The following is an 11,621-nucleotide window of genomic DNA, read 5'->3' as shown; positions in this document are numbered from 1 at the left end:
TCCAGCCTGGGTGACAGAGTAAGACTCCATCTCAAAAAAAATGAATAAAGAAATAAAATAAACAAACAAAAAGAAAGAAAACCACTAAAAATAGAGCTACCACACAATCCAGCAATCCCACCGCTAAATCTATATCAAAAAAAAGGAAATCCGTATACTGAAGAGATATCTGCACTCCAGTGTATTTTGCAGCTCTGTTTGCAAGAGCCAAGTTATGGAATCAACCTAAGTGTTCATATGGTGCCCATACAGAAGGGAGTACTATTCAACCATTAAAAAAGAATGATATCCTGCTATTTGCAGCAACATGGATGGAACTGCAGGACATTATGTTAGGTGAAATAAGCCAGGCACGGAAAGGCAAACTTTGCACATTCTCACTCATTCGTGGGAGCTAAAAATTATGACAATTTAACTCATGGAGATAGAGTAGAATGATGGTTACCAGAGACTGGGAAGGGTGGAGGTGAGGGACTGGGGATGGCTAATGGGTACAAAAATAGAGTTCGATACAATGAATAAGATCTAGTTTTTGATAGCACAATAAGGTGATGGCCGTCAGCAATAATTCATTGTACTTTTGTTTGTTTGCTTGTTTATTTTTTTGAGATGGAGTCTCACTCTGTCACCCAAGCGGGACTGCAGTGGCACAATCTTGGCTTACTGCAAACTCCACCTACCAGGCTCAAGCAATTCTCCCGCTTCAGCCTCCAGAGTAGCTGGGATTACAGATGCATGCCACCATGCCTGGCTAATTTTTTTTTGTATTTTTGTAGAGACAGGGTTTCACCATGTTGCCCAGGGTGGTTTCGAACTCCTCAGCTCAGGCAATCTGTCTGCCTCAGCCTCCCAAAATACTGGGATTATAGGCATGAACCACTGTGCCCAGCCTGTGGTACATTTTAGCATAACAGAGGGAATATAACTCTAATGTAACACAAAGAAATGATGAGTGCTTGAGGTGATGGTTACCCCATTTACCATGATGTTATTATTATATGTGACTATACACTTTATGCCTGTCTACATTGTATGCCTGTGATTATACATTGTATGTCTGTATCGAAATATCTCACTTACCACATAAATATATACACCTGCTATGTAGCCACAAAGATTTTTAAAAATAAAAATAATTGCATAGACTCCTCAAACCCCAATCTCCAGTACTTTTCTTGTCTTGCTCCACCCCAGGACCACATCTCAAAGCCTCAAGTCTATCAGAATTTCACCCTCCAGTCTGTCTCCTCTCCATTTCACCTTATAAAATTCCAGAAGCTTCTGTAGTTAATATATAAGCCAGAAAGGAATTCCCAAGCTTGTCTGTGGAATCCCACCCAAAGTACGACCCCAACTGCCTTGCTGCCTGTGAGCTGTTTCCCGTCTACCCACCTCCTCCTTTTCCATCCCTTCCACACTCTCCCATCTCACCACCTGGACAGACTTCAGAAAGCCCTGTGGTTTATTTGCAAAATGCTCCCCCAGGAAGGGCAGAGGCCAGGGCCTAGGAGAGAGGCAGCCCTGGGAGGTGGGATGGCCCCAGAACCAGAGTAGCAAGAGGCCACTGGGGACAATGAGGAGTGAGAAGGCTGAGGGCACCGTGGTCCTCATTCTTCCCGCCTTCCATTCTGCTGTCGCTCTTAAAAGACATGTTGCTCTGTTTGTTATTTCTGTGGTTGGTGAGGGAATGTGTGCCATGCATTTGTACTGGCAGAGTCTCTGTTAACTCTTCAGAGGCTACAAGGAGCCCAAAGATGGCAGATGCTGCAGACGCCAAAAGGTTAGCATCTCAGGGTGGAGTCCCAGGGCCAGCTTCCCACTGGCCACAGGCTGGCTGATGTATCCTTGTGATAATGATATTAAACTTGCAGCACCTCCCTCAGGGAAGGGTGGTGGTCCTGCTGGTGGAATGTTTGGAGGCTGGATTTATTTATTTATTTATTTATGAAACGGAGTCTCACTTTGTCACCCAGGCTGGAGTGCAGTGGCGGGAACTTGGCTCACTGCAACCTCTCCCTCCTGCATTCAAGCGATCACCCTGTCTCAGCCTCCCGAGTAGATGGGACTACAGATGCACACCACCATGCCCGGGTAATTGTTGTATCTTTTTTAGTTGAAACACGGTTTTTGTATGTTGGTCAGGCTGGTCTCGAACCCCTGACTTGAAGTGATCCACCCGCGTCGGCCTCCCAAAGTGCTGGGATTATAGGCATGAGCCACCGCGTCCAGCCTGGAGGCTGGATTTAGAGTGGTTCCACTGCAAGAATAGCGCTAAGCTTTATCAAAAGGTGGCATTGCAGCACGGGGTATCGAGAGTAACTGGTAGGCAGAATGGGGGCATCCTGGGCCCTTTGGGGATGAGAATTTATTCTGGACCTCACAAGAAAGTGGGATATGGAGGAGATATAGTCTGATGGAGGAGGCCTAGCTCCATTTTGGGTGGGCTGTGGGGGTAGGGGGTGGCTGATTTAGCCACTCATTCATTCATTCCTCACCAAATATTTTGAACACCTGTCATATGCCACACGCTGTGTTGAGAGTACAGGGATGAGCAAGACAATGGTTTGGCCCTTCACAGAGTTGGCATTGAGGTGAGAGAGGCATTCTCACCAACATTCCTTCCAGAAAAATCCCTAGAGACCCGACAATAAAAGAATCACACACAAAATGGCACAGATCACCTCTTGACGTGGGGAGGTCAGGCTTTAGAGATGTTTATTTAATTCTCAGCAGATTTGAAGGAACATATCAGGGAATCCAAAGCACCAGTGCAGAATCCCACAGCTCAGGGAACCTGGGCCAAGGGGGCTTTTTGATAGACGGAAGCAGTAGGAAGAGGCAGCTGGGAATGAGGACTGGGGAAGACTACAGCAGTGTGTGACTGTGGTCTACAACAGGCATGAACCTCAAAAATAGCATTCAACATGAAAGCAACCAGACACAAAAGATCACATATTATGCCTGTAATATCAGCACTTTGGAACACTGAGGTGGGTGGATCACCTGAGGCCAGGAGCTCACCACCAGCCTGGCCAACATGTCCCTACTAAAACTACAAGAAAATTAGCCAGGCATGGTAGTACATGCCTGTAATCCCAGCTACTTGGGAGCTGAGACTGGAGAATCTCTTGATCTTGGAAGGCAGAGGTTGCAGTGAACAAAAATTGCACCATAGCACTCCAGCCTGGGAGACAGAGCAAGGCTTAGTTTCAAAAAAAAAAAAAAAATCAAATATTGTATGATTCTGTTTATGGGAAATATTCAGAATTGGTAAGTCCATAGTGACAAAAACCAGATTGACAGGGGCCGAGATGAAAAAGAGAATGGGGTATGGGGAGTGACAGCTTGATAGGTATGGGTTTTGTTGGGGGAGAGATAATGAAAACATTTGGAGCTAGGAGAATCACCTGACATCAGGAGTTCAAGACCACCTAAAAATACAAAATTTAGCCAGGCGTGGTGGGGGACGCCTGTGATACCAGCTCCTCCAGAGGCTGAGGCAGGAGAATCACTTGAACCCAGGATGTGGAGGTTGCAGTGGACAGAGATGGCACCACTGAACTCGAACCTGGGTGACAGAGTGAGACTCCATCTCAGAAAAAAAGAAAATGTTTGGAACTAGATGGTGGTGGTTGTACAGCTTTGTGAATGAACCACACGCCACTAAATTTTACACTTTAAAACAGCTAATTTTATGTTATGTGAATTTCAGCTTAATTTTTAAAATTATATATATACATGGCTGGGCACGGTGACTCACGCCTGTAATCCCAGCACTTTGGGAGGCTAAGGTGGGTGAATCACTTGAGTTCAGGAGTTCGAGACCAGCCTGGCCTACACAGTGAAACCCCATCTCTACTAAAAATACAAAAATTAGCCAAGCGTGGTAGTGCATGCCTGTAATCCCAGCTACTAGGGAGGCTGAGGCAGGAGAGTTGCTTGATCCCCGGGGGTGGAGGTTGCAGTGAGCCGAGATCACGCCACTGCACTCCAGCCTGGGCAACAGTGTGAGACTCTGTCTCAAAAAACAAGAACATATATATATATATGATTTTGTATATTATAATTTTCGATAATCTCACTCCTGCACTCACTTGCAATGTGACCTCAGACAACTGGTGCCATGGAGGGGAAGGAAGCTGGCTTGTAGCAGGTCTCTCAGAGGCAGGAAGTTGCGGGGAGTCAGAGCCATTGTCTACAGAGGCGGGGACACTGAATGACCCTGGAATCCTTTGACCCCCTTCCCTCAGCCCCTTCAGCGGGGCAGGAAGCGGATCTGGTATGTTGGGGGTATTTTGCCCACACCACACTCCTGGGGTGTCAGATCGATGTCTTCTGGGGCCACGGGGCTGGCCATGGAGAAGTTCTGGAGGATGGTGGTGAAGAAGAGGAACAATTCCGCACGGGCGATGCCTTCACCAAGACAAATCCGCTTCCCTGTGGACACAGAAGGTCACCAGTGTGGGCACAGGGCAGGTGCATACACTTCGCTCTGCCATGTCCCTAAGCCCAGACACAAATGTCCACTGCAACAGATTTGCATAAGACTGGCCTTTAACCTACAATTCAGGGTGGACTTTTAGGAAGCTGCTCTGAAACCAGATGCAAATCTTTGAGTGGATGTGCCACGTTCATTTCTCTCTCTCTCTTTTTTTTTTTTTTTTTTTTTTTTTTTTTTTTTTTGAGATGGAGTCTCTCTTTGTCACCCAGACTGGAGCACAGTGGCACCATCTTGGCTCACTGCAACCTCCACCTCCCAGGTGGTTCAAATGATTCTTGTGCCTCAGCCTACCAAGTAGCTGGGATTACAGGCACCTGCCACCACGCCTGGCTAATTTCTTCTATTTTTAGTAGACATGGGGTATCATCATATTGGCCAGGCTAGCCTCGAGCTCCTGACCTCAGATAATCCACCTGCCTTGGCCTCCCAAAGTGGGATTACAGGCATGAGCCACTGCACCCGGCGCCATGTTCATTTTTATATAAGAGAGTTTCTAGCTTCTGTTACAGTTCCAAAGGGTTGGTGAAACCCACAGAGTATAATGACCCATTTCTGGTTCTGTGTGTGTGTGTGTGTGTGTGTACCTGTACATGTGTGAGTGTGAGCACATTTATGACAACATTCTTAGTGTTCTTCACTTCTCATATGGGGAGAATGGCACCTCCCTCAAAGGGCTCTTGTGAGGTTAAAGGAGACAATTGTAAAAATTCTTAGAATAGCACTTGGCTTGTGCTAAGGAGGCTTAAGGTTTGGTTACTGCCTTGTGTTTGTTTCTGGGGTATGTGTGGGGTATGTGTTTCTGGCCATGTGTCTGTGTCTGTGTCTCTAGGCTGTCTTCTAGTCTCAGCCTGAGATCCACAGGCTTCAAGAGCTCAAGGGGGGAAAAGCCCAATTGTATATAAATTGTGAATGGGACTGATGCGTATGAGACAGGGAGGGTCTATGGCTTCCACTGATTCTCAGAGGTGCAAGGAACCCCCAGTAGATTCTAAACCACAGATTGGGAGAAAAATAAGAACAAAGGGTGCTGGAAAAAGCTCAGGCAGAGACAAAGGGAGCCTTTCCCTTCACTTCAGTGTTTCATAATCTGCAAACCTTGGAAAGGCCATGTCAAGTGTGAGTTTTCAGGCATTCCCTATGCCTGTCAAGTTGTTGGACAAGTGTGTCTATGTGGAGGTGTTTGGAAAAGTGTCCACATCCCTTTGGCATACCCAGAAGGTGGGTGACATGAGCTTAGAAACAGGCAGGTCTCTGGGCCTGTTCTTCTGTAACTCTTTGTGTGACCTAACATTTTTCACAACAGCCTGAGGCTTATTATCTCCCTCTCATCACGCCCTCCCCATCTCTGGGGCCGTCTGTTTGGACACCTTTCGAATTTCTTTGGCTGCAGTACCCTTTTGGCTTGGGTTATACCTTTCTTTCTGCCCCTGGCAGCCCTACTCCTGTCTTTTTCTCTGTCTATACCTGTCAGACACAGCTTTTCTTCTTTTCCTCTCCTTTTTTTGGCTTTCTTCCATCTTGCTTAACTTCCTATCTCCATCTATTTGAATCTGATTTCTCCCCAATCTCTTTCTCTCTCATTCTTTCTTTTCATCTCCCTCTAAAGATACCTTATTTGTCTTGTTCATTCTTTCTTCCTCTCTTTTTATGTCACTCTCTCTTTTTCCTATCTCTTATTCTGTTTCTCTCCTTTCCCTCCTTTCTCCCCTCCTCCTTCCTTTTCCTACTCTCTCTCCTCTTATTCCTCCTCCTCCTCCTTCTCCTTACGTGACTCTCTCTCTCTCTGTGTCTCTCTCTCTTCCTCTCTGTATACTGTCTGAGGTTTGCCCTCTGTCTTTCTGCCACTGGCTCCCCATCTCTATCTCTATGTGTTCCCTCTTTGTCCCTAACTCTGTTTCTCAGTCTCATTATCTTTGTTACTTATCTGTCTCTGTCCTTATTTCCCTACATCTCTGCCTCTCTTAAAACAAATTAGCAGGCCAGTCGCAGTGGCTTATGCCTGTAATCCCAGGACTTTCAGAAACTGAGGTGGGCATATCACAAGGTCAGAAGATCAGCACCATCCTGGCTAACACGGTGAAACCCAGTCTCTACTAAAAATAAAAAAAAATAGCCAGGCATGGTGGCATGCGCCCGTAGTTTCAGGTACTCGGGAGGCTGAGGCAGGAGAATCACTTGAACCTGGGAGGCAGAGGTTGCAGTGAGCTGTGATCGTGACACTGCACTCCAGCCTGGGCAACACAGGAAGACTCCGTCTGAAGACAAAAAAAAAAAAAGAAACTTCAGATAGCAAAATTGAGAGAAGACATTGACATTCAAGCCATCACCACACATGTTCCCAATTTTCATTGAAGATAAAATGTGGAAGGAGGTCACTGTACTGCGCAAAACCGGGGGCTGGGCCAAACCCTGGATCACTGAAGTCACTGATGAAACTCAAGACTGGGGGTTTGTTTCTGGGGCCTTTCATGGATGGTGCATGTTAAATTCAATTAAATTTGGCCTAAAGCAGCCTCCCTACATAACAAATTGTAATGTAACTCAACATGTAAACAAACTTGAGAGTATATTCTTGTAACAAGTAACCTTGGACAATCAGGGCAGCCAAGCTTCAGCCAGTCACAGGCTACAAGCTGCCCAGACATGCTCAGATAAGGCAAACACAGAGCTGTAACCAATCAGGCTGTTTCAGTACCTCAGTTCCTTTCCCTGTGGATAAATAGTGCCTGACCACATTGCTGGATGGAGCTCTCTGAACCTTTACTGGTTCCTTGTGCTGCCCAATTCATGAATTGTTTCTTTGTTCAGATAGACTCTGCTAAGTTTAATTTGTCTAAAGTTTTTCTTTTAACCAGCCAAAGAGTAGAGGATGAGAACTGGGACAAGTCAGAGCACGTCAAGACCTTTTCCACCTTCCCAGTGCTAGACCATAAATCCAAACTCCTCCTGCAACCTTCAAGGTCCTGCCCAGATGAGCCCTTTGTCTTATTTCCTTCTGCAATCTACACCCAAGGCTCACTGGACTTCCTATAGGTTCTCAATGGTGCCATATCACGTTTCTACCTTTGGCCTTTGTCCTTGCTGTTTCCTTTGCCTGGAACACACTTTGCAATGGTTGATTGATGCTCACCCATGAACATGTTAGCTTGGAAGCCAGTTCCTCTGGTAAGCTTTTCCTTACGGACCCACCACAAGATTAGCTACTATTTCCTATTTTGTGCTCCCAAAGCTCCCTTTAGAGCACTTATCACAATTATGTCTAATTATAATAATAATTGCCCTTGTGAGCATGTCCTTTGTGCCAGGCAGTTCTAAGCATGTTGCAGGCATTCATTCATTTCATGAGATGATTATTTTATTATTATTTGATGAATGCCCATCTTCCCTGCTGGACTTTAAATTTCCTGGGGCAGGAACCCTGTCTCTGTGTGACTTGTTTGATGCATTATCTTCAGCCCCCAGTACAGCACTGGGCTTACAGTGGTGCCCAACAGATTTTTTCTTTTTAAGAAAATGAACTCACTGAGGTTTAGAGATGTTAAAATACTTGCCCAAGGTCCTGCTTGCCAAGATGTGCCTTTGGGAATGTAATCTTCTTTCTCAAGCCTCCTTATAGGGTTGTAGTGAAGATGGAATGGGATAAGGCAGGTGAAGCAATCAGAATATATTAAGTGCTCAAATAATCAGTATCTCTCGTTGTTTTTCTCAAGTTGGGGATAGTACCTGCCCTCTGGTGTCTGGGAAAGAAATTGTGGGTCCAGCTTACCTAAGGAGAAGGGGATAAAAGCTTCAGTCTTTTTCAGTGCCCCATTGGCATCCAGAAAGTGGTCAGGATTGAAGGCGTCTGGTTTTTCAAAGTAGTGTGGGTCATGGAGAGCAGTGCTCAGGATGAGAAATACTTCTGTGTCCTGAGGGAGGATCACAAGATCAAAAGATATTGCCATTCCCTCCAACCCTCCACACACTCCACAAAAAAGAAATACAAAAAACAAAAACAACGGGACTCAATTAAGGAGCTAACAAAAGGTTGAGTTCGGGGATTAAGAGAATCCAGGATGCCCAAACAGGAGGGCTATGGGGTTCCAGCCGGTCTTACCTTGGGGATGATGTACCCTCGGAAGCTGGTGTGTTGGGTGACAATGTGGGGCACACCCATGGGGAGAAGGTCGGAAAATCTCTGAATCTCATAGATGACTGCCTCTGTGTATGGCATTTTGGCTCGGTCATGAAGCTCTGGAGGGCGATGTGGGCCAATCACCTGTTCAATCTCCCTGTAGACTCTCTCTGTACAGAAAAGAAGACCAATGAATCTCATTTTAAAGAGGCATTTCAGGCCAGGCATGGTGGCTCATGCCTGTAATCCCAGCAATTTTGGAGGTTGAGGTGGGTGGATTCCTTGAGGTCAGGAGTTCAAGATGAGCCTGGCCAACATGGCAAAATCCCGTCTCTCCTAAAAATACAAAAAATTAGCTGGGTGTGCTGGTGCACACCTGTATTCCTAGCTACTCAGGAGGCTGAGGCAGGAGAATCACTTGAACCCAGGAGGTGGAGGTTGCAGTGAGCCGAGATCATGCCACTGCACTCTAGACTGGGTGACAGAGCAAGACTCCATCTCAAAAGAAAAAAAAATTTTTTTAAAAAGAGACCTTTCAGCAAGGACACTACTTTCTATTGACCAATGAAAAACCTATAGTAAAGGGTTAGATCCTTGATACCCCTCAAAGTAATCAGCATGGGGTGAGGGGAGGAGGGAGGAAGCAACAAGAATTCTCACTGCTTGAAATCTAATGAATATTACAGATCCTCTTCCCACATGCCCAGGTACACACACACACATGCACACACACACCACGATTTTGCATGGAATTTCAGATTAAGAACTCCAGGCTACAAACCTCTCAAAACACCCTCTCTAAGATGAGTAGAAAATGAACTAATATTTATTGTGTTTATAATATAGTTGAGACACTATTCTTGGTCCTCAGGTATATAACAGTGTAATAGAACAATAGATGAATTCATGAACAACTGGATAAAAACATCAATCAATCAATCAATAGATCAATTCATGGATGGAAAGATTGATGAATAAATGAACAAACCAATAAATGGATGTCTGTATTTACTTATCAATTAATAGATGGATTGATTAATTAATCACTAATGAATGATCCATAGACAAAGAAATCAATGAACCCAATTAATGAATAATCACATGAATGGCTAGATTTATGGAAGAGCAAGTGAATAATTAAATTAGTGAAGTATGAGTAAATAAAGGAGTAAATGAAAGGCTGGATTGAATGATAAGTAGATCAGAGGTGAATAAATGAGTGAATTATTGTGATAAATGAAGGAAATCACGGATGGATTAAGGGTGAATTGAAAGGTTGACTCATGGAAGGATAAGAGTGAAACCTAGTTCGTAGAAGGATGGATGAATGCATGAATGAATGAATGAATGAGCCAATGAATCAATGACAAATAGTCCATCAACATACCACTGTTTCAAAGGATCAACTTGTGGATCAAGTAATCCAAATAAATGAATGACAGTATATGTCCTTAGATGAATCATAAATGAAAGAATCAGTAATTATACATTCTTTAATTAATGAATTAAAGAATGAATAGATGAAATGATAAGTGGATGGATCGATTTTTAAGTGATGGCACAGAAAGTCAAATATTGCATGTTCTCACTCATGAGTGAGTGCTACAAAATGTGTACACATGGACACAGAGAGAGGAATGATACACAGTGAAGACTCAGAAGAGTGAGGGAGCAGAAGGGGGGTGAATGATGAGAAATTACTTAATGGGTACAATGTACACTGTTTGGGTGATAAATACCCTAACAGCCCAAACTTGACCATTACAAAACCTACGCATGTAACAAAACTGCATATGTACCCCCTAAATTTGTACATCATGAGGTCAGGAGATCGAGACCATCCTGGCTAACATGGTTAAACCCCATCTCTACTAAAAACACAAAAAATTAGCCGGGTGTGGTGGCAGGCGCCTGTAGTTCCAGCTACTCGGGAAGCTGAGGCAGGAGAATGGCGTGAACCCTGGAAGTGAAGCTTGCAGTAAGCCAAGAGCATGCCACTGCACTCCAGCCTGGGTGACAGAGCGAGACTCTGTCTCAAAAAAGACAAAAAAAAAAAAACCAAAAAACAAAAAACAAACAAACAAACAAAAACCTTAGAACAAAAAATCCTTAAGTGATGGAAGAAAACAGTGGGAGAACGCATGGACAGATTCTTCATGCATCCATGCATCCACCAACAGAATTGGCTTGGTTGGAATCTAGCCCAGAGCCTACAGTGCTCCCAGAATAGGAAGCCAGCATCCCCTCTCTCATCCAGGTGGTACCCATAGCCCCATTTCTGCAGCTCAGAAGGAGGTCAGAAGACCCCCTTGACTGGCTGTCCCTGGCCCACCTGCAACATGAGGGTATTTGAGCATGAGCAGGAAGCCGTAGCGGAGAGTGGTGCTGGTGGTCTCAGTGCCAGCAAAGAAGAGCGAGAGCGTGTTGAGGTTGAGGTTCTGGTGGCTGAATTCACTGTGTGCGTTGGATTTCTCCTGCGTCCACAGTAGGGAAGGAAGGGGAGGGTCAGGGGAGGCTGTAGCCTTGCTGTGTATACGCCCATCTCCCTGGCTGCCCTCCGTTGGCCTAAAGGTCTTTGACACTATCTGGCCCAGTTTGCTTTTCTCTGTCCTCTACACATCCAACCGCGTATCTCTAACTCATCTCTCTCAGCCTCTCTTTAGTCTTCCTAACTCTGTTTCTATCTCTCTCCACATCTCTTTGATGTGTTTCTCTCTTTTTGTCCCCGTCTCTTTCTGCCTCTGTGAGTTTTTTCTCTTGTTGCTGTATTTTTGTCCCTTGCCCCGAATTCCTTCCTCAGCCAGTCTTCTCTCTCTCTCCCTCTGTCTTTCATTCTGTCTTCCCACCTCCCCTCTCTCCCTGTCTCAGTTCCTCCTCCCTATTTTCTCCCTCCTTTCACCTCATCTTTCTTTCCTTCCTCATGTTCTCTCCTCCCTTTCCCTATTCTCCCCTCCCTAGTCTTTCTTCTTCCCTCCCCATCTTCCCCTTCCCTACCCCTTTTCCCTC

General features: G+C 45.2%; 1 protein-coding gene across 1 annotated transcript in view; it reads right to left on the bottom strand.

Annotated features, from left to right (window-relative positions):
- The window catches only part of CYP2B6 (cytochrome P450 family 2 subfamily B member 6), a 27,117-nt gene continuing 18,180 nt past the window's right edge, over positions 2,685-11,621 (bottom strand). Inside the window, exons 6-9 of the mRNA NM_000767.5 lie at positions 10,948-11,089; positions 8,598-8,785; positions 8,268-8,409; positions 2,685-4,437 (exon numbers count right to left, since the gene is read on the bottom strand). Of these exons, the coding sequence (NP_000758.1) occupies positions 4,256-4,437; positions 8,268-8,409; positions 8,598-8,785; positions 10,948-11,089 (654 nt within the window). The 3' untranslated portion in view covers positions 2,685-4,255. The remainder of the gene's footprint in view (positions 4,438-8,267; positions 8,410-8,597; positions 8,786-10,947; positions 11,090-11,621) is intronic.

The sequence above is a fragment of the Homo sapiens genome, chromosome 19 (assembly GCF_000001405.40).
Source record: "Homo sapiens chromosome 19, GRCh38.p14 Primary Assembly".
In the NCBI taxonomy this organism is placed as follows: Eukaryota; Metazoa; Chordata; class Mammalia; order Primates; family Hominidae; genus Homo; species Homo sapiens.
The sequence above is the reverse complement of the archived record's forward strand: the minus strand, read 5'-3'. Positions and strand labels throughout refer to the sequence as shown.